Consider the following 22,636-nt stretch of genomic DNA (forward strand, 5'->3'; position numbering starts at 1 on the left):
CATTACCAATGTCTGCTCTAATAGAGCTTCAATCTGCAACTGCATAATATGGTCACTGGGAAGTCAAGAACGGGGCCAGTTGGTTGACCTTCTGGGGAGAGGCTGGGCTGCTTGGATGCTGAGACCGTGGAGGGTTCATGGGTTCCGAGGAGCAGATCATGCACCAGGGCGGCCTGCTCAGCTCTGGTGTCTGCAGCCCCGGTGAGCTTGAGCATTAGGGAGTCCCTGGATATTCATGTTGAGGTGTGGAGGAGGAGACTCCAGCTGTGTTTGATTTCCTGTCCTGCTGGAAATATAAACTTCTTAACCAATTAGAGAACAGAATGGATTTCATCTTATCCATGGGGCTAAAGTAGAATTCAGCCCTTGGCAAACAAGCCCCCCGGGAATAAGATTCCCCATTGGGGCAGCAGCCTTCCTTGTCACTTTCTGTTGCAACCTACGGTCCTAACCTAGTCATATGATTTAATTTTTTTTACTCTGTGAATCATGCCGTCCTGGGAGAGAGTGAGATGGAGCAAGGACAACCCTCTTAGGGGCCTGCCAGGCACTCTCCCTAGCATGGAAATAAAGGAAAACCTTGAGTTCCTTCAAGGGAAATTCCAGGCACCTCGCTGGCCTTGAGAAGTACATGGAGCAGCTTGATAAGCAAGAAGGTGATTGTAGTGTAGAACAATAGCCAAGGAAGTTAGAGCCTCAATATGTTTAGTTTCCTGTAAAGACTAAAGATAACATCCTTTTTTGAGATGGAGTCTTGCTCTGTCACCCAGGTTGCAGTGTAGTGGTGCAATCTTGGCTCAGTGCAACCTCCAGCACCTCCTGGGTTCAAGTGATTCTCATGCATCAGCCTCCCAAGTAGCTGGGACTACAGGTGCACACCACCACGCCCACATTTTTGTATTTTTAGTAGACACAGGGCTTCCCCATGTTGGCCAGTCTGGTCTGGAACTCCTGACCTCAGGTAATCTGCCTGCCCTGGCCTCCCAAAGTGCTGGGATTGCGGGTGTGAGCCACCATGCCCAGCCAAGATAACATCTTACTATATGGCCCTGAGTTGATTTTCAGGAACCCAGACCCCCACCAAATAAAAAATGCCATCTGCTGGCTCATAGACGTTGGGTAAGAGAAACTGAGGCCTGAATTCTCATTACAAATGTTTGTTCTAAATTCCTTCCCTGGGGCATGTGGCGGTGGGAGGGGGGTGGAAGGGGGGTGAGGGGACGTGCTGGAGGAAGTCACACCAATGGCCACAACTAACATTGATTTCTGCTGACCCCAAATGCTCAGACAAACTTGGCCTCCTTAACCAATGACAAATCAGAGAAACTTTGAATCCACATTAAGCCCCTGCTTCCAGGTATCCCGCCTTTTTAGATCAAAGCAATGTATAGCCTGCATGTATTATGGCTTTGCCTGTAACCTCTGCCTCCTTGCCATTGAAAACCCTCAGCTACTGGCCACCCAGGAGGTTGGGTCTTGAGGCATCAAGGAGGTTGCTTGATGCCCTCTAAATAGCTCGGAATAAACGCCTCACTTCCTCACGCTGCAATCCCAATGGCGGTGTTCGGCTTTACTGCACAGGGCCGGTGGACCTAAGTTGAGTTAGTGGGAGGTGTTCGAACCAGGGCAACTCCAGGTTGAGTAGGGGCTGTGTAAAATGAGGCCGAGAGCTGCCGGGCTGCATTCCCGGATGGTCAAGGCATTCTAAGGCACAGGATGAGATAGGAGGTTGACACAAGAAACAAGTCATAAAGACCTTGCTGATGAAACAGCTTGCCGTAAAGAAGTCGGCCAAATTTTACCAAATCCAAGATGGCGATGAGAGTGACCTCGGGTGGTCCTCACTTGTGTCTTCCCACCAGCACCATGACAGTTTACAAATGCCACGGCAATGTCAGGAAGTTACCCTATATGGTCTAAAAAGAGGAGGCATGAATGGGCCACTCCTTGTTTAGCATATCCTCAAGAAAGAACCATACAAATGGGCAACCAGTGGCCCTCGGGGCTGCTCCGTCTATGGAGGAGCCATTCTTTATTCCTCTGCTTTTCTAATAAACTTGCTTTCATTTTATGGACTCGCCGCAAATTCTTTCTTGTGCAAGGTCCAAGAACCCTGTCCTGGGGTCTGATTCCAGACCTCTTTCCGGTCACAAGTTCAGTCACAAGAACCATTATCATATGCTTTCTATATATACACATAGGTATTTTTTAATTGCTGAACTGGAGTCAAAGAGAAACCTTAGGATTTGCCTGAAGGAAGTCAAGATTTGTCCTTCTCGGGGTCCCTGTGCCAGCTTTGTAAAACCTCGGAACTTTCCCCTCTGTGGGCTTCCTCAAGCTGAGGAGGGCTCTATGGGCTTAGTACCCACTAAGTGGCTTCATCTGCAGCAGCTGACCCAAGAAAGTTGATTTAAATGAACCCACACTTCAGAGGAAACCAGTACAATCCGATGTAAAGAAATAAAAAATAGGCCGGGGGCGGTGGCTCATGCCTGTAATTACAGCACTTTGGGAGGCCGAGGCGGGTGAATCACTTCATGCCAGGAGTTCAAGACCATCCTGGCCAACATGGTGAAACCCCGTCATTACTAAAAACACAAAAATTACCTGGGCGTAGTGGCATGCACCTGTAGTCCCAGCTACTCAGGAGACTGAGGCACTAGAAGCGCTCGAACCAGGGAGGCAGGGGTTGTAGTGAGCCGAGAGTGCGCCATTGCACTGCAGCCTGGGCAACATAGTGAGATTCTTTATCCAAAAAAAAAAAAAAAAAAAAAAAAGGCTAGGCACGGCGGCTCATGCCTGTAATCTCCGCACTTTGGGAGGCCAAGGTGGGTGGATCACGAGGTCAGGAGTTTGAGACCAGCCTGGCCAACATGGTGAAACCCCATCTCTACTAAAAATAAAAAAAATTAGTTGGGCATAGTAGGGGGCGCCTGTAATCCCAGCTACTCAGGAGGCTGAGGCAGGCGGGAGAATCAATTGAACCTGGGGGGCAGAGGTTGCAGTGAACAGAGATTGCGCCATTGCACTGCAGCCTGGGCAACATAGTGAGGTTCTGTATGAGAGAAAGAGAGAAAGAGGGAGGGAGGGAAGGAAGGAAGGAAGGAAGGAAGGAAGGAAGGAAGGAAACAATTGCTTGAAAGGGCTTTGTTTCACCAGGGCACGCAGATCAAAGGACATTGGATTGAATAATGAAACAGAAGAGCCTGTCTGAATTTACTAATGTGGTTGCACGTCCCGTAATGATTGCAGTTGGCTCTAATTCAGTTCCGTGGTGTATAAATTCTGCTGGCAATAGCTGTAATTGGGGTCAGGGATTTAGATAGTCTCTGTGTGTTCCTTTTCATTTTCTGCTCAGAGCCTGCTGGGAGCTGATTTTCTTCTTTAAAGCGAGGTAAATAATTCAGTGGGGAGCAGAGGTTTTGCTGTGGGTCCATTGCTCTCCTGTGCTGCGTGGCAGCTGTGCTGGTGGCAGCTAATATTCAGTGGGCAGTGGCCTCGACATTGCATTATTATTCGAGCAATGGTACTGTTCTTTGCTTTGCAAAATTGCTGTTTGTTATATTGACTTTCTGGGGTCGTGGCCCCTGAAGCATTACTGAAAATCATGGACATGAAGCAGATTTATTAACTGGAGAAAAGACATACAAATGTATTTAATGTGTATACACGGGAGCATTCAGAATGAAGACCCCAAGTTACAAGGGGAGATTGTCTATATTTATGCTTTGGTTCATCCAAGTCTGGACAGCTGTGTAGAAATAGGGTTGGACAAAAAGGGCCTGATCCAATGCTAATGGCCTGAGTGGGGAAACCCAGCCAGGCCTGTGTGTCTAGATTCTTCTTGGCCTCTCTCTCTCTCTTTTTTTTTGAGACGGAGTCTCACTCTGTTGCCAGGCTGGAGTGCAGTGGCACAGTCTTGGCTCACTGCAATCTCCACCTCCCAGGTTCAAGCAATTCTCCTGCCTCAGCCTCCTGAGTAGCTGGGATTACAGGCACGCACCACCACGCTCAGCTAAGTTTTGTATTTTTAGTAGAGACGGGGTTTCACCATGTTGGCCAGGATGGTCTCGATCTCTTGACCTTGTGATCTGCCCTCCTCGGCCTCCCAAAGTGCTGGGATTACAGGCGTGAGCCACCGCACCCGGCCTCTTCTTGGCCTCTCTGAACAGTGCTCCTTCCTTCCGGGTATGGGGCTGGGAGCTTCTCTGGGATGGGGGGTCTTAGGACGCCCAAACAAGGCAGGTCAGGGAATTTCCTTATGGCCACTTTTTTTTTTTTTTTTTTTTTTTTCAAGACAGATTCTTGCTCTGTCACCCAGGCTGGAGTGTACTGGTGTGAACTCGGCTCACTGCAAGCTCCGCCTCCCGGGTTCACGCCATTCTCCTGCCTCAGCCTCCCGAGTAGCTGGGACTACAGGCGCCCGCCACCACACCCGGCTAATTTTTTTGTATTTTTACTAGAGACGGGGTTTCACCGTGTTAGCCAGGATGGTCTCGATCTCCTGACCTCGTGATCCGCCTGCCTCGGCCTCCCAAAGTGCTGGGATTACAGGTGTGAGCCACCGCGCCCAGCCTGTGCCACTCTTTATACAGATAGGATAGAGGGAAAGTTAGATTCCTGTTTTTAGGTTTTATGGCTGGCTTCGGGGGGAAAGGCGTTCTTGTTTCTGGGACCCGTCTTGGGGAAGAGGGATTCTAGTTCCTTCGGTGCCTTAGGGGAGAATGGGACTCAGAGACATGGGGGCTGGAGAAGTTCCGAGAGAAACTTCTGCTTCTGAGGCTGCTGCTGAGGCCTGCACTTGGCGGTATTGTTTCGTAAGCCTGAACCACGTGCAGGTCTGAATCAACATAAAGAATTTGGGTGGGAGGCAGGGGAACTCCAATAAGAAGCATCTTTGAATCCGGCAGGGGTGGAATTTGGGTCCCAGAGGGGTTTGGTGACTGCAGGCTACAGAAGAATGCTTCAAAGTGCTGTATCACATGGCTTTGCTCCGAAGGGTCCCGAGCACAGCTTTACCGGGGGCTCATGTGTAACGCTCGGCCCACCCATCCACCAACAGGAGCCACTTAATCGACATCTCCAGGATGCCAGCAACCGAGGACCGTTGTCATAGTCCCAGCACAAAATGAGGCTGCTTTCTTCTTGGGGGTTTAGGGATCCCAGACCACAAGGATTTGATTAAAAGCCGCTCAGTTCACTAACTATAAGCAAAGCAAATCAGAAATAGATCTCCTGTTCCTGCCCCGTCTTATGTTCCCAGTGGAAAATAAACCCCGTGAAAGCAATGGCGTCATGTGCAACCCGACCTTGGAGACAGAGACCCCAGAGTTAGCGTTGTCTACCTGGGACATCTCCCAGCCCAGGGGTCTTACTCCAGACCCGTGAGGACCCCAGGCGTGGCTTTGCTGCAACTTCCCTGGAGAGGAGAGAGGACAGGGGGCCCTGCCTGGGAGATAGATTTGCTGCCTGGCATGCGGGACTGGAGACTGTCTCAGTGCCCAGGCCGTCTGATGCTGGCCGGAGTCCGCCTGGTTTATGTAACGAGGTCTGGATGTGACCAACAACGGCCTCGTGTGTGTGAGTCACGCGTGCAGCAACTTCTGGCTGTAGTGCAACCCCTGAAACCAAGCAAAGCCTAAAGCCCCCAGGCTCCACTTCCTCTGTGACCCTCCCCACCCCCAATTCCTGTCATCTCTCAGGGTCATCCGGAGCATCTCAAAGCTGAAGGAGCCTCCGCTGCAACCTGGCCTCCTGCTGCAGGATGAGACGAGCTGTCTGCAGCCCTCCCGTGCCACCTGCCTGTTTTATGCAACAGCATTTCAGAGAGGAGGGACTGGGAGGGGAGAGACAACACCGAGGCCTTTGGTTATTTAGGGCAACAGCAGGGAGTGGCCGGGTGCACAGATTGGAGGAGATTAAGTGGTTGCTGAGGGGATGCCTGGGATTGCTGGGATGGGCGGAGACATAACACAGTGAAAGATATTGGTCAACGGCGAACACAGATTGGAATGTAAATTCTCAGGGTGTGTGCATAGCCGGGACGCTTAACTTTGGCGTCCTGGACAGGTGTCTCGACTGGAACTGCTGGCAGCCTTGGAGGGGAGATGTTGCACAGATCCAAGAGGCTGACACGGTTCCTGTCCCCCAGCCCAGTCTGAGCAGCTTGGACCATGATGATCAAGAGCGCTGGAGGAGGCCAGGTGCGGTGGCTCACGCCTGTAATCCCAGCACTTTGGGAGGCCAAGGCAGGTGGGTCACTTGAGGTCAGGAGTTCGAGACCAGCCTGGCCAACATGGTGAAACCCTGTCTCTACTGAAAATACAAAAGTTAGCTGGGCGTGATGGCATGCACCTGTAATCCCAGTTACTCAGACGGCTGAGGCACAAGAATCGTTTGAACCCAGGAGGTGGGAGTTGCAGTGGGCTGAGATTGTGCCACTGCACTCCAGCCTAGGCGACAGAGAGAGACGCCATCTAAAAACAAAACAAACAAAAAGAAAACAACAATAAAGAAAAAATAAGAAGAGAGCTGGATGGAGCAAAGATTTGCTGGGTTGTTCTTAAAGGCGAGCCTGTAGTGATCGCTGGTAACAGAGAACGTCATCTGAGAGGGACGTGGGGGCTCCCAGAGTTTGAGAGAAACGGCCGTGTGGGATTTGACCTGTGATGGCACCGCCAGCTCCCAGCCTCCAGTCTGGGCCCAGGGGCAGCTGCTGTGTGCACCCTGGGCTCAGAGTTCCCCTTCCCTCCAAGGTTTGTGACTTTGTCCTGACTTAGGGATTCCTGTCTGGGGATGCGTCTTCTGCTCCGGAGAGGCCCTAATTGCCTCCACAAGGAGCGGCAAAGCCTGCCCGGGTGGCATCTGACTGGAGCCATGCCACAGCCTATACGAATCTATGTTGGAGCCCTTGAACCTTCCCCCAGAGCAAGCGTCACCGAGGCAGACCGATTTTTGGGAGGGAGACAGACATCAGAGCGGGGGAGACCCAGTACCTAGGGCTCACCTGGTTCCCCCAGGCTTAGCCTCCTCCAGGGCTTAGTGTTTGAGTGAGAGATTGTCCCCCCTGGACAATTCTGTAGATTCTGACTCTGCTCCTGCCTTGCCCTGAACTTCCCAGAACCTCAGTTTCTTCCTTTGGGAAATATGCATGCTGGTCATACCAACATCCTTGGGTGGGCAGATGAGACTCTTGGGTGCCTGGCATTACTGCAACAGAACTCAATGCATAGTAAGTGCTGACTCAATGTGCTCCTGGCTGCATCCTCTACTTCCTGATAAATTCTCTGGTGGTGTTTTCTCTACAAGGCTAGTACTGGCAGGGGCAAGTGAGGAACAAGATCAAGGTGTGCATATATGTCAGCAAGAGGGACCCTTCACCCTCACAAATTCTGCAGTGTGTTTTTAATGATGTGTCCCAAAGATGTGAATGTTCTCTTCTCTCTGCTGCAGACACATTCATTAGATTAACTGCTTTTGGATCAGGTAGGAACCTCAGCTTGTCCACACAGGTTGCTTCCTGACCCTGTATTTGTCAGTGTAGGCTAGCTGCTATAACAAACAGCCCCCAAAGAATTAAAAGTTTATCTCTTGTTTGTGTTGCAGCCAGGTGAGGTGGCAAAGGTGTCCTATGCTCCATATAGTCTCTCAGGCATCCAGGACCCTCACATTGTTGTGCTTCACCTTCTTCTAGGGCAGCCCCTCTCAACCTAGACTCTGTGCGTGTGTGGAGGGGTGGGGGGGGCGTTGGGGGGCGGGGATATGCCTGTCCTAAGCTGTGAGTGGGACAGTCCAGGAGAGAAGTCTATGTGCTTGGAGAGAGGCTTCCTTCAAAGTTTCCTGGCCATGAGCAGGAATGAAGCTCTGACACAGGTTGCAACGTGAACGCAACTCAAGAGCATCATGCTCAATGAAAGAAGCCAGGCACAAAATACCACATATTGTAGAATTCTATTTATAAGAAATTTGCAGAACAGACAATTCATGGAGACAGAAAGTGGATAGTGGTTGTCAGGGGCTGGGGAGGCGGGAGGGGAACTAACTGCTGAATGGGGACAGGGGTCTTCTTTTGGGTGATGAGTATGCTCTGGGACTAGGTGGAGGTGGTGGTTGCATCTCCCATGTAGCTCATGGTCAGGTTAGTTTTAGTGCTCTGGGCGACCCTAGGCTTGCAGGAGGAGGGGAGCAGCATGAGGTGAGGAACAAGGGGGATTCTGGCCTTTCCATCATGGGGTGACTTATGCCCTGTTTGCTCCCAATAGGTCAAAGAGACTTTGATTTGGCAGATGCCCTTGATGACCCTGGTAAGTGCCGATATTTCAAGGGGAGCCTTCCCTTTTCAGCTTGGATCTAACAGCATCAGCTGTATAGTTACTTTGGGGTTGGATTGGGCCAGTGTTGGGAATTTCTTGGTCTTGAGATCTCTGTTCTTTGCAGGAGATTGCAGACACCTTGAGACAAACCTTTACACACTCTCTAAAAGTCTCAGACTCATTTCTTGGTAGGTCTGTGCTTCTAAACCTGTGGTTTAGGAATATGCTAGTATTTTATTATTTTATTTTACTTTATTTTGTTGAGATGGGAGTCTCGTTCTGATGCCCAGACTGGAGTGCAGTGGTGCAATCATAGCTTACCACATAGCCTCGACTTCCTGGCTCAAGTGATCCTCCCACCTCAGCCTCCCAAGTAGCTGGAACAACAGGTGTGTGCCCCCATGCCAAGCTAATTTTTTTCTTTTTTCTTTTTTGTAGAAACGGATTCTCACTATGTTGCCCAGGCTGGTCTTGAACCCCTGGGCTCAAGAAATCCTTCTACCTTGGTTTCTCAAAACACTGGGATTACAGACGTGCCTCAACATGCCTGGCCCAGTTTCTGCTTTTCTTACACTTCAGTTCATATCCCTCATTGTCCCACACCCCGATCCCAATCCATGGCCTCCAATCTCCCCAGTTTCTGCTTTTCTTACACTTCAGTTCATATCCCTCATTGTCCCATACCCCGATCCCAATCCATGGCCTCCAATCTCCCCTCCCAGAGCACACTTCATTCCGTTCTCCCCTCAACTTCTCTGGTTACCTTCACTGACGGGGCTGTGAGTTTTTCTTCTCCAGGGCACTGAGGACCTGGAATCTTCCCATTCTGTGTTTTCATCAGTCCAAGTTCAGCTAGAACCTTTCTGGCTGACCAGAATGCTGAAAATATGTGTCCTGGGCCCTGCAGAAAGTCCTGCTTGAGGCAGATAGTCTGATTGAGATTCAGGTGTATTCAGACCGCGGTGGGTGGGAGAAAGGGAAAGATTTGGTTTCTGATGCAGGCACAATGGAACCAAACATTTATTTTGAAAGAAAAATAAACTTTTGTGTACACAGAGGAAGAATCCATTGGGCTTTAGCATTGGGAACAACTGGTTGACCAGTGCAGTTACATAATGGTGTTTGTTGGAGGAAGAGAGAATGATAACCAGATCTGATCCTAAAAAGCCAACAACAAGATGATAGGAACTCATCTCTCTCCCAGTTTTCTGCACACAGTGATGTTTTTGCTAATAATTATCCTAAAAGGCAGATACAAAATTGTTGTCAGTGCAACAGGAAAATGTAATGACTCACCCCAACATGGAGATGCCATTTCTCCCATGAAGTTAGAAAAGGTGAAGGTTGAATCCTACCCTGTCAAGGCAGATTGAGGGGTGGGGGTTAGAGGCAGGTGTGTGGTTGCAACCACTTTGGAAGCATTGGGGGATTATCTCCAAAATTCAGACTGAGTGTGTTGCACCAGCGTTTGGTCTGGATAAAGAATGAGGCATATCTGCAAGAGAACCCTGTGCAATAGTGAAGGAGGGGCTGGCTGGTAGGCTCAGATACAGAACAAGACATGTTATTGATCTGAAAGATCACTGACATGTGACCCAGGAGTTCCACTTCTAGACAGATACCCAAGAGAATTGGGAGCAGGGACTCAAACAGTTATTTGTGTACCCATGTTTGCAGCAGCAATATTCACAATAAGCCAAAGGTGGAAACAACCCAACTGTCCATCAGGGGATGAATGAATGAACAGAATGTGGTCCCTCCAGGCAACAGAATATGATTTGGCTGTAAAAAGGAAGGGGGTTCTGATGCGTGCTACATGAGCCTTGAAACTGTGCTCAGTGAAACAAGCCAGGCACAAAAGGCCACAGGGTGTAGGATCCCATTAATATGAAATGTCCAGAATAGGCAAATTCAGAGAGACAGAAAGTGGATTAGCGATTGTTGGGCTGGAAGAGGGGACAAAAGGGAGGGACTGCTCGTGGCTATGGGGTCTCCTTTTGGGGGGATGAAACTGTTCTGGAACTAGATACAGGTGGTGATTGTACAATATTGTGAATATATGAAACACCATTGAATTGCACACTTTAAAATGTCAAATTTTATATGTGAGTTTCACATTAATTTTTTAAAAATCACATAAATAAACTTATTTTCCACTCACCTGCTACTACCTTTTCATTGCTCACCTAGAAGGCTGCCAGTGCCTGCAAACACATCTTTGAATGCATCGTTTTGCTACCAAGAGCCCCCCATGAATGGGCAGGCATGTGCCTGTTCATCCACAGCCCTTCCTCATGGGAAGGAAGCCCCAGTGCAGAGGAACCACAGTCACCTGCATGGCGACTGTGGGGAATTCACTTTTCACTGTCTATACTGCCTGGGCTTTAAGAAACTCTGTGAGTGTATCACTATTTTAAAAAATAGTTATAATTTTACATTTTAAAAAGGAGACAGAGAAAGGAAGGATGGGAGAGAGGGAGGGAGGGTGGGAGGAGGAAGGAAGGGAAAAGGAAGAGAAGAAAGAAAAGAAGGAAACAATGAAAGGACAGAGGAAAACAGGGAGGGAGGGAGGAAAAAGGATGGAAACAAGGAGGGAAGAAAAGGAAGAAGAGAGGGAACGATGGAGGGAAGGAAGGAAGAAGAAAGGAGAGGAGATAAGAAAAGACTGAGGGGAGGAAGGAAGAAGGAGAGGAATGAAGGAGGAAGGGAAGAAAGGAGGGGGGAAGGAAAGAAAGAAAAATAGGAGAAGAAAGGAAGAAAGAAAAAGAATAAGGGAAGGACGGAGGGAAGGAAGGAGAGAGGGAGAGGAGAAAGGTTGGAGGGGAGGAAGGAAGAAAGGAGGGTGGGGAGGAAGGAAAGAAGAAGGGGGAAAAGGAGAGAGGGAAGGAAGGAAGGAAGGAGAGAAGGAAGGAAGGAGAGAAGGAAGGAAGGAGAGAAGGAAGGAAGGAGAGAAGGAAGGAAGGAGAGAAGGAAGGAAGGAGAGAAGGAAGGAAGGAGAGAAGGAAGGAAGGAGAGAAGGAAGGAAGGAGAGAAGGAAGGAAGGAGCGAAGGAAGGAAGGAGAGAAGGAAGGAAGGAGAGAAGGAAGGAAGGAGAGAAGGAAGGAAGGAGAGAAGGAAGGAAGGAGAGAAGGAAGGAAGGAGAGAAGGAAGGAAGGAGCGAAGGAAGGAAGGAGCGAAGGAAGGAAGGAGAGAAGGAAGGAAGGAGAGAAGGAAGGAAGGAGAGAAGGAAGGAAGGAGAGAAGGAAGGAAGGAAGAAGGGAGGGCAGGAAGGGAGAGGGAGGTGGCAGGAAGGAGAAAAGGTGATGAGAAACCTTCTATTAAAATACAGGACATGCGAAACCATATGCCCCGTTTGGAGGTTCAAGCTCTCCTTCTTGCAGTCTCTGCATCCCCAGTGAATGTCCGCACCACACACAAACCCGTGTTCCAGCCGCCTCCTACCAAGGCAATGCTAGGCTGTTATGTAAACCATGCTTTCAAATACGGTGTTTCCTCTGTTTGGAAGAAGTCTGGCCATTGCACAGCCCTGAAGCTCCAATTTTCCCAGCCATGGCCGACTCCACCTCCTTTGAGCCATCTTCCTCAAACCTCCTCCTGCCCTCGTCTGCCCATCCACACTGCACACCCAGGTTCACTAAGCAGGGCAGTCACAGGCTGCACCCTGAGCACTCCTGACCTGATATCCACATCCATGCAATACATATTTGCTGAATGAATAAATGAATGAATGAAAGAAAGTGAGATAAGCCATCATTCTGGAAGCTGCAAGTCTTTCTCCTTCTTTTCTTTTGCCTCCCCCTGCCTCACCCTCCACCGTCCAGCCCTGTGGTGGCTCTACGGGCAGGTGGCTCACTTACTTGTCTTGGATGTTCTCAGCTACTTTGGCCATCCTGTGGGCATCCTCACAGCCTCAAGGGTGGATTGTTTTTGAATGGATTTTAAGGGTGTTTTCTTGTCTTTTTTCTCAATTCAACATGGAATTTGTGTCTATATCATTTACTTTGTATGGCTTTGTCACTCCCTTTTCACCTTTCATCAGGGCGTTCATGGCCTTTCTTCATGCTTCCAATGAATCTTCAATGCATATTGCATTTATTTTCTCTCTTTGTTCACAGAACCCACCAAGAAGCCAAACTCAGGTGAGTGTCTCTTCAGCTGGGAAAAACTGAGGCAACGTCCTTGAACTGATGCTTACGGAGGGGATGGTTGAGGATGTTTTACAGAACTGTGGGGTATATGAAAGAGATGCAACAACTGTACCAGATAGCAGATATTGAAAGCAAAATGTGGTGATTAGGGAAATGCAAATCACAACCACAGTGAAGCACCACTTCGTCCCCACTGAGATGGCTAAAATCTAAAATGGAAAATAACAAGTGTTGGCAAGGATGTGATGAAACTGGAATGTTTGTACAGTGCTGGTGGGAGTCTAAAATGGTACAGCCACTGTGAACAAATGCTTTGGTGGATCCTCCAAAAGTTAAATACAGGATTACTCTATGAACCAGCAATTCCACTCCTAGGTATGTACTCAAAATAATTGAAAACACGGGTTCCAAGAAAAATGTGTACACAAATGTTCAGAGCAGCACTATTCATTATAGCTAAAAGATAGAAATAACTCACATGTTAATCAGTGGAAGGAATGGATAAACAAAATGTGGTCCATTCACACAATGGAATATTATTTAGCCTTGAAGAGGAATGAAGCACTGAAAATTGCTACAAAGTGGTTGAGCCTCAAAAACATTTTGCAAAGAGAAAGAAGCCAGACACAAATGATCACATAATGTATATTTTTATGAAGATGAAATTTCAAGAATAGGTGAATCCCTAGAACCAGAAGCAATGTCGTGACTGCCAGGGGCTGGAGGGGAAAGAGAGAGTGACTGCTTGATAAATTCCAGGTTTCTTTTTGGGGGAACGAAAGCATTCTGGAAGTACACAGAGGTGATGGCTGCACAACACTGTGAATATTCTAAGTGCCCCTGAATTATTCACTTTTAAATGGTTAATTATATGTAAATTTGACTTCAATTTATTTATTTATTTTCAATTAAAAAGGTAACCTTTGGCTGGGGGCGGTGGCTCACACCTGTAATCCCAGCGCTTTGAAAGGCCGAGGTGGGCAGATCATCTGAGGTCAGGGGTTCGAGACCAACCTGGCCAACATGGTGAAACCTGGTCTCTACTAAATATAAAAAAATTAGCTGGGCATGATGGCACATGTCTGTAATCCCAGCTACTCGGGAGGCTGAGGCAAGAGAATCACTTGAACCCGGGAGGTGGAGGTTGCAGTGAGCCGAGATCATGCCACTGCACTCCAACCTGGGTGACAGAGTGAGATTCCGTCTCAAAAAAAAAAAAAAAAAGAAAAGAAAAGAAAAGAAAAAGAAATAATTCCCGGGGCCGGGCGCAGTGGCTCACGCCTGTAATCCCAGCACTTTGGGAGGCCAAGGCGGGTGGATCACAAGGTCAGGAGATCGAGACCATCCTGGCTAACACGGTATGTTGTACCTGAGCGAGTTAGAAAAACGCTTTGAGACAAATTAAGAGTCCTTTATAAGCCAGCGACCGAGAGACGGCTAATGCTTAATAGTCTCTCGGTCCTGAGGAAGGGGCTTGATTAACTTTTAGATCTTGGTTTAGGAAGGGGAGGGCTGGGGGTCTAGTGAAAACCATTTTACAGAAGTAAAGTAGGCAAAAAGTTAAAAGGATAAATGGTTGCAGGAAAGTAAACAGTTCCAGGTGCAGGGGCTTTAAGACTATTACAAGGTGATAGACGCGGGGCTTTGGGCGTTACTAATCAGACGAATTCCCGGGAACTGCGGATGTAGCTCGCCACAGTATCTTATCAGTTAACTGCATTCTTGGATGTGCTGGGAGTCAGCCTGCACGAGTTCAGTCCTTGAGGAAGGGGCTGCCAGTGAAAGAGCCAAGGTGGAGTCTGGCTGGCTCTCTTAGCTAAGGGAGAGTCCATTCAGGTGGAAAGAAGGCTAGGTGAGTAAAGGAAAAGGGAGAGTCTAAAAACAGGTTAGTAAAAACCAGGTTGGGCATTACAGGTGAAACCCCGTCTCTACTAAAAAATACAAAAAAAATTTGCCAGGCATGGTGGCGGGCGCCTGTAGTCTCAGCTACTTGGGAGGCTGAGGCAGGAGAATGGCGTGAACCCGGGAGGCGGAGCTTGCAGTGAGCCGAGATCTCCCACTGCACTCCAGCCTGGGCGACAGAGCGAGACTCCGTCTCAACAACAACAACAACAAAAAGAAATAACTCCCAGACTTCCAGCAGACTCCTTGACTGCCATGAGAGATGTCAGGAAGTCAATGGACGGGTGTTTATAGGTTGTTCAGGAAATGTTCACTATCAAGCAAGAATTGAAAATGCAGCTAAATTGCTGTTGGAGAGTGATGATAGCATAAAGATTTCCAACAAGAAGCTCTGCAAATTTTGCTGAAAAATCTTCCAAATGATGCTCTGCCATAAGAAGAAATTCACACCCTGAATAGCACAGCAGGATGCGAATAGCAATGCCAGCCAAAGACATTGCAAACAAGCCGGTAAAACTAAGTGATTGTTAGCTGTTTAAAAAAATAATAATAACTGGTGTTAACAACAAAGTGAAACTTAACTTCTGAAGATGAGGCTACCTTCACAGAGAGGATAAGAAAGGAAGAACTGAGTAAAAGTAGTTAGATATTGCTGGATTTTGACATTTTAAGGTTAAGTGTTCCTGCTAAAAATAAAAATTGAACATATAACTCCTGAACTAGTGGATGAAAATGAAGAATGAAGAATAAAATTAAATACAAAAAAAATGAAGAGTAAAATTAAATACCAAAATTAGCCAAGTGTTGTGGTGAATGCCTGTAGTCCCAGCTACTCAGGAGGCTGAGGTGGGAGGATCACTTGAGCCCCAGAGGTGGAGGTTGCAGTGAGCTGAGATTGCGCCACTGCACTTCCGCCTGGGTGGCAGAGCCAGGCTTTGTCTCAAAAATAAAAAAAAATAATAAATTAAAAACCTGAATACTAAATGGAAGTTAAGAAGGAAGGAATTAAAAAAGAAGAAAAGTAAAATAAAATAGTAGGAATAGTGAATCCTTAGTTATGTTAGATGTTCAGTGATTTAATAAATCTGTAAAAAGACGGAGATGAGATGATGCAATTTAAAATGTTTCGGCTGGGCGCAGTGGCTCACGCCTGTAATCCCAGCACTGTAGGAAGCCGAGGCGGGTGGATCACGAGGTCAGGAGATCGAGACCATCCTGGCTAACACGGTGAAACCCCATCTCTACTAAAAATACAAATAAAATGTTTCATGCTATTTACGAGAGAAGCATTTGCAACAAAATGCCAAAGAGAAGGTGAAAATAGCTGGAAAAAAAATGCGCAAAGCAAATAACCAATAGAAAGAAAGCCAAGTTGGGCTAGCAAAATCAGACAAAATAACCTTCGAGGTGCAAACAACTTTGAGGCCCAAATAGAGGTTCTTCCCACTAAAAGAATGATTCCCTGAATGATAATGGAATCTTGACCCAGCCTGCACCTCAGGTTAAGTTAAAAGTGGAAATTTAAAGATCTAAGTGTGAGATTTTAAAAAGCATTTCCCCAGAAATACCAGGATCTGTAGATGGAAATGTTATTAAGAATAAAGATGTGGAGCTGGGCGTGGTGGCTCACGCCTGTAATCCCAGAACTTTGGGAGGCTGAGACTGGCTGATTTCTTGAGCCCAGGAGTTTGAGACTAGCCTGGACAACATAGTGAGACCCCATCTTTACAAAAAAATTAAAAAAAATTAGTGGACATGGTGGCATGCACCTCTAGTCCCAGTTACTCAGGAGGCTGAGGTGGGAGGATCACCTGTGCCCAGGCTGAGGCTGCAGTGAGCCATGATCACGCCACTGCACTCCAGCCTGCGTGACAGAGCAAGACCCTGTCTCAAAAGAAAAGAAAAAAAAAGAAGAAAGAAATGAAAACCGTAGCTCAGAGACAGAGAAACTGAGCAATGCATAGGTTCAGAAGGGTTTGAAACAGACTGAATTGTGTCTTGGCATATGAGAGAGGTCGCAGCTATAAAACAATGAGAGAAGAAACCAAATTCCACATAGGCAGGACTGAGACAATTGGCTGTTCTTGTGGATGATACGTGATCAAATCTCAACCTCATGCGATACTTTTTTTTTTTTTTTTGAGATGGAGTCTCGCTCTGTCACCCAGGCTGCAGTGCAGTGGTGTGATCTCACCTCCCCGCAAACTTCTCCTCCCGGGTTCAAGTAATTCTCGTGCCTCAGCTGGGACTACAGGCATGTGCCACCACGCCTGGCTAATTTTTGCATTTTTTTAGTAGAGACGGGGTTTCACCAAGTTGGCCAGGCTGGTCTCGAACTCCTGACCTCAGGTGATCTGTCCACCTCGGTGTCCCAAAGTGCTGGGATTACAGGTGTGAACCACCACACCCAGCCTCATGTAATACTTAAAAATGAACTACAGGTGGATTACAAACCTGAATATAAAAGAAAACTTTTTTTTTTGAAAAATAGAGGGAAATGTCTTATAACCTCAGAGTTAGGAGGTTTTTCTTAGATACAATACAAAAAGCATAACCACGCCCATAGTCCCAGCTACTCAGGAGGCTGAGGCATAAGAATCACTTGAGCTCGAGAGGTGGAGGTTGCAGTGAGCCGAGATCCTGCCATTGCACTCCAGCTGAGGCTACAGAGTGAGAGTATAAAAAAAAAAAAAAAAAAGCATAACCTTTAAAAATGGGTTAGCCTATGTCTACATTTAAATAATAATAATAATAATAATGTTCCAACTTCAGGCTCTGAAAAAAGTCAAAAGATGAGCTGTCAACTAGAAGAGGCTCCTTACTGCTCATACCACCAGGGAAAGTTTAATATGCAAAATGCAGTCATCCTTCAGAATTCATGGGGGATTAGTTTTAAGACGCCTTCTTCCCCGCAGACACCAAAATCCACAGCTGCTGAAGTCTCTGATATAAAACGTGCAGTACTTGCATATAATGCAAGTATATGTTCCTGTATATTTTTATTTATTTATTTGGAGACAGAATCTCACTCTGTTGCCCAGGCTGGAGTGCAGTGGCGTGATCTTGGCTCACTGTAACCTCCACCTCCCGGGTTCAAGAGATTCTCCTGACTCAACCTCCCAAGTAGCTGGGATTACAGGTATGCGCCACCACCCCCAGCTAATTTTTGTATTTTTGGTAGAGACGGGTTTTAACCATGTTGTCCAGGCTGGTTTCGAACTCCTGACCTCACATAATCTGCCCACCTTGGCCTCCCAAAGTGCTGGGATTACAGGGATGAGCCACCGTGTCCAGCCTCTGGTATACTTTAAATTATCTCTAGGTTACTCATAACTCCTGATACGCTGTAAATGCTATGCAAATAGTTGTTATACTATATTATTTTTTATTTGTATTACTTTTTATTGGATTGCTATATTTTATTTTTTGAAATATTTTCAATACAAGACTGGTTGGATCTATAGATGCAGAAATTCTGGTTATAGAGCACAAACTGTGTATAGATAGCTCCTACCAAAACAGACGGATGGTGAAAAAAAGAAAAGAAAAGAAAAGAAAAAGAAAATGGAGGAGAGAGACTATGAGGCGACTAAAAGAAGAGGGATATGATCATTCCATTCGCTGACAAGAAAAATTCAAAGAAGAGGGAATTATGCAATTGACCAGCTGATGTGTGTTAGAAATGCTCAGGGTCACACATATTCATTGAAAGCCAATTTAAGCCACTATTTAAATTTAAACCGATTTAAACAATTGGGCTTTTTTTTTTTTTTCTAAAAAAAAAAAAAAGTCAATTAGGCCAGGCGAGGTGGCTCACACCTGTCATCCCGGCACTTTGGGAGGCCGAGGTGGGTGGATCACAAGGTCAGGAGTTTGAGACCAGCCTGGCCAACATGGTGAAACCCTGTTTCTACTAAAAATACAAAAGTTAGCTGGGCATGGTGGTGTGTGCCTGAGGCTGTGAGACTGAGGCAGGAGAATCACTTGAACCCAGGAGGCGGAGGTTGCAGGGAGCGGAGATCATGCCACTGCACTCCAGCTTGGGCGACAGACCAAGACTCTGTCTCAAAAAAAAAAAAGAAGAAGTATATTGGTTCCGTCTGGAAAGGTGGAGCACTTGAAGCAAAGGCAGGAAGACTGGAAGCAGGGAGAGGGTTTTCAGGTCACAAACAGGTGAGAGACAAAACAGTTGCCTTCTTTTGAGTTTCTGATTAGCCTTTCCAAAGGAGGCGATCAGATACGAATCTGCCTCAGGGAGCAGAGGGGGGACTTTGAATAGAATGGGAGGCAGGTTGGCCCTAAGCAGTTCCCAGCTGGACTTTTCCCTTTAGCTTAGTGACTTGGGGGTCCCGAGATTTATGTTCCCTTCACAGTGTATGAGTGAGAGCACTTGGAAACTGAGAGTGGAAGTGTCGCAGGCCAGGTCTCACTAACACAGGCCCCCACAACACCTGTTTCAGTATTGACTGAGTGGTTAAATATTAAAAGCCAGTGCTGTTATACAAAGGCTGGAATGTAACAAAAGCCCACCGAGAGTTTTTCCCAGGACTTTCCCGGGCCTTAAAGCATGACAAAATAATGAATGAATTCTTAACAGGACCCATTTAGGATTAAACAAGTTTTACTGGGGGTCTGCAGAAACTCCCCAGGCCTCCACAAACAAGTTTATTGGGGCTTTGAAGGAACTCTGCAAACCTCCTGGATTTAGCAGGAGACAACATGAGGGTAATCACCCCGGCACCTGGACCCATTAGATTAAGTCAATTTACTGAGGCTCCTGAGGAAGATCCTCAGGACTCAGACCTTAGTTATAGATTAAAAGAAGTTAATCACTTATGTCTTTAGATAAATGCACACACATATCTCCACATAGCTTGGAAGGTATATAAGCTCTGGAAAACTATAATTTTGAGTTAGTCTGGTGATAATTTCCAGGCCTTCTCCCTGTAACAGGTTGCAGAAATAAAAACTCTCTTCCTCCCCAGTTCATCGGTGTTTCATTATTGGGCTGTGAGAAATAGCAACCCAGTTGGGTCCGGGAACAGAAGGTTTGGTGTTATCTTCATCACAGGCACTGGACTGTCGGTAAATTTATTCCATGACAATTCTTCCTAGGTTTCTTTTTTATATTACTTGCTTCCATCATGGCAGACAGCTACACTGGCTTCTTGCCATGAAAACGAACTTCTAGTAACAAAACGGAAACCTTTTTTTTTAAGTTTCAGGTTTCAAGGTTTTACTTCTATCTGCAAAGTGATTTTTAACCAGACAATGGCAATCTATAAACACACCGTGGGCAGCAAATCAGAACAAACTGCAAGGTCGATAGTCACGCTGATGAGCTTGTTTCTGCAGCCTGCTCCTAAGGGAAGGACAATTTTCTTTTCTAACAGTGCAATGTTGTTTCCTCCACAGATATCTACCCAAAGCCAAAACCACCTTACTACCCACAGCCCGAGAATCCCGACAGCGGTGGAAGTAAGAATCCGCAGGCCTGAAACTCTTTCTCAATCTGGTTTGATGATGTTTGCCTTTTTATTTACTAGCAGGTTTAGCCTGGTTGCATTTGAAATATGTGTGTAATAGCTCCCTTACTGGGAATGTAGTTTCTTTCCTCACTGGGGGGAGCAAGAAAGTCCAACGGACAGAAACAATCTTATTTTCCCTTTGCTTTGACATCTAGAAACCACTAAGGTGTACTTGTAACCACCCAACTGGTTCACTTTGTTGGCTGCCTAGACAGAGCTGATTTATCAAGATAGGGGAACTGCAATGGAGAAAGAGTAATTCACGCAGAGCCGGCTCTAAGGGAGGCTAGAGTTTTATTATTAATCATTCAGTCTCTGGAACATCTGGGGATCAGGGTTGTTAAGGATAAGTTGGCAGGTAGGGGCTTGGGAAGTGGGGAGTGCTGACCGGTCAGGTTGGAAAGGGAACCATAGGGGGTTGAAGTGAGGTTTTCTTGCTGTTTTCTGTTCCTGGGTGGATGGCGGACCTGGTTGAGCCAGATTACCGGGCTGAGTGGTGTCAGCTGATCCATCCAGTGCAGAGGCTGCAAAATATCTCAAGCACCGATCTTAGGTTTTACAATAGTGATGTTACCCCCAGGAGAAACTTGGGGAGGTTCAGACTCTTGCAGCCAGAGGCTGCACGAGCCCTAAAGTGTAATTTCTAATCTTGTAGCTAATTTTTTGGTCCTGCAAAGGCAGACTGGTTCCCAGGCAAGAAGGGGGTCTTTTTGGGAAAGGGGCATTCTTAATTTTGTTTCAGAGTGAAACCACGAACTGAATTCGTTCCCAAGGCTAGTTTGGCTCACACCCAGGAAAGAACAAGGACAGCTTAAAGGTTAGAAGCAAGATGGAGTTGGTTAGGTCTGACCTCTTTCACTGTCATCATTTCCTCAGTCATAATTTTTGCAAAGGCCGTTTGATACTCAAAGGACACTTTGCATTATCATCACAGAAAGCTAATCAGGCTGAGAGACAAGTCCTTTCTCTCACTTGTTTTCAGTGCTCCAAATACCTTTGGCTTAACCATTCCCAAACCCCCACGTGTGCTGTGCACTTTATGTGTTTTAGAGTTGGTTTCTCCATTTTTTCTAACATTTGGCAGACAGTTTTTTTCCACAGATTTATTACACTCATCATTGAAAAATATGCAATTCAAAAAAGAAAGAGAGTGAACGAGAGAGAGAAGAGTGGGGAGGGGGGTGGGCATGGAGAGAGAAAGAGAAAGAGAAAAGAAAGGGGAAAGAAGAAAGGAAAAGATAGATTCTGGCCATTAAAGTTATCAGCAGTTCAACAACCTTAAAAACTTAAATGTTTGCCAGGCAGAGCAGCGTGAAGCTGGCTAAATCAAGAGGGGTTCTGGAAGCTTCCTGGTAGTTTGCTCTGGCTTTAAACTTTCACAGCTTAACAGCGTGTCCATTCATTGCAGACACGCACATCCAGATGGACAGAAATTATCTCCTCTTACAAGGAATCATTAAAAACAGAGACCAAGACCCAAGGGAGGTGACACCCACTTGAAAAACTACACCTCAGGCCGGGCGTGGGGGCTCACGCCTGGAATCCCAGCACTTTGGGAGGCCGAGGCGGGCAGATCACCTGAAGTCAGGAGCTCGAGACCAGCCTGGCCAACATGGCGAAACCCTGTCTCTACCAAAAATACAAAAATTAGCTGGGCATGGTGGCATGCGCCTATAATCCCAGCTACTTGGGAGGCTAAGACACGAGAATTACTTGAATCCAGGAGAGGAAGGTTACAGTGAGCCAAGATTGTGCCACTGCACTCCAGCCGGGGAACAGAATGAGATTCTGTCTCGAAAAACCAAACCAAACCAAACCAAACCAAACAAAACAAAACCCCAAAACACCACCTCACCCTTAACTGCATTAGTTAAGCCAGCTAGTCTTTCTTTTTTCCCCCTCTTTCATGATGAAAATCCCAAATACCACCCACCTTTTTCTCCTGCTATTTCCTCCTAGTCTTTTAAAAACCATTGTCCTGCGGATCATGGCTATGTTGCAAGGCACTCATGGGAATTCCACAGGGAACGTGTTTCTTGCTGAAACATACTTGGGAAACGCCCAGTTAAACAGACTGCCGTGGGCTTCCCTCCCAGAGAATTCATCAGGACTTAAAATGTGTGGCTGGGCATGGTGGGTCACGTCTGTAATCCCAGTACTTTGGTAGACCGAGGCTGGTGGATCACCTGAGGTCAGGAGTTCAAGGCCAGCCTGGCCAACATGGTGAAACCCCATCTCTACTAAAAATACAAAAATTAGTCGTGGCCTGTAGTCCCAGCAACTCGAGAGGCTGAGGCATAAGAATCGCTTGAACCTGGGAGGCAGAGGTTGTAGCAAGCTGAGATGGCGCCACTGCACTCCAGGCTGGGCAACAGAGCGAGACTCCGTCTCAAAAAAAAAAAAAAAAAGAATAAGAAAAAAAAAACTTAAAATGCGAGATCCTTTAAGATGGGCCATCTTCAGAGTGTGAACACTCAGCCCCTCCCACAGCAAAGTGATTCATGAACCCCAATAGGAGGAGGAGTGGGGGAAGAGAGGCTCAGGCTGGGGAGGTGACCCCCCATGACTCAAGCCTCAATCTCCTGATGCTTGTCCCAACAAAGAGGAGGCTTCCTTTCCGACTTTGGTTTTTCATGTTGTGCTTAAATCCAGCCACACTGATGCCTTTAACATGGCAGTCCTGAATTATTAATCAATACTGTGTGAATCCAAAATATCTGAGACAGGTCTCAATCAGTTTACAAAG

The 22,636-nt window shown here is 46.9% G+C and overlaps 1 protein-coding gene across 6 annotated transcripts in view, besides 3 other annotated features; it reads left to right on the plus strand.

The window, feature by feature from the left end:
* XG (Xg glycoprotein (Xg blood group)) overlaps positions 1–22,636 on the plus strand; it is a 64,461-nt gene that overhangs the window by 10,249 nt on the left and 31,576 nt on the right. For 5 of the 6 annotated variants that reach the window (XM_005274587.5, NM_001141920.2, XM_011545575.4 and 2 more), the window contains exons 2-4: positions 8,262–8,303; positions 12,428–12,451; positions 19,778–19,840. In XM_005274587.5, coding sequence (XP_005274644.1) covers positions 8,262–8,303; positions 12,428–12,451; positions 19,778–19,840 — 129 coding nt within the window. The remainder of the gene's footprint in view (positions 1–8,261; positions 8,304–12,427; positions 12,452–19,777; positions 19,841–22,636) is intronic. The other variant, XM_017029787.3, reaches the window with a different exon arrangement.
* Positions 19,264–19,945: an enhancer, noted in NCBI's record as "H3K27ac hESC enhancer chrX:2699593-2700274 (GRCh37/hg19 assembly coordinates)". NCBI's record gives its function as "activates a minimal SCP1, AML or CMV promoter by ChIP-STARR-seq in primed H9 embryonic stem cells {active_cell/tissue: H9 hESC(primed)}" and the evidence as "EXISTENCE:reporter gene assay evidence [ECO:0000049][PMID:30033119]".
* Positions 20,627–21,307: an enhancer, noted in NCBI's record as "H3K27ac-H3K4me1 hESC enhancer chrX:2700956-2701636 (GRCh37/hg19 assembly coordinates)". NCBI's record gives its function as "activates a minimal SCP1, AML or CMV promoter by ChIP-STARR-seq in naive H9 embryonic stem cells {active_cell/tissue: H9 hESC(naive)}" and the evidence as "EXISTENCE:reporter gene assay evidence [ECO:0000049][PMID:30033119]".
* Positions 21,308–21,988: an enhancer, noted in NCBI's record as "H3K27ac-H3K4me1 hESC enhancer chrX:2701637-2702317 (GRCh37/hg19 assembly coordinates)". NCBI's record gives its function as "activates a minimal SCP1, AML or CMV promoter by ChIP-STARR-seq in naive H9 embryonic stem cells {active_cell/tissue: H9 hESC(naive)}" and the evidence as "EXISTENCE:reporter gene assay evidence [ECO:0000049][PMID:30033119]".

Source organism: Homo sapiens, chromosome X (genome assembly GCF_000001405.40).
Source record: "Homo sapiens chromosome X, GRCh38.p14 Primary Assembly".
NCBI classification, from domain to species: Eukaryota; Metazoa; Chordata; class Mammalia; order Primates; family Hominidae; genus Homo; species Homo sapiens.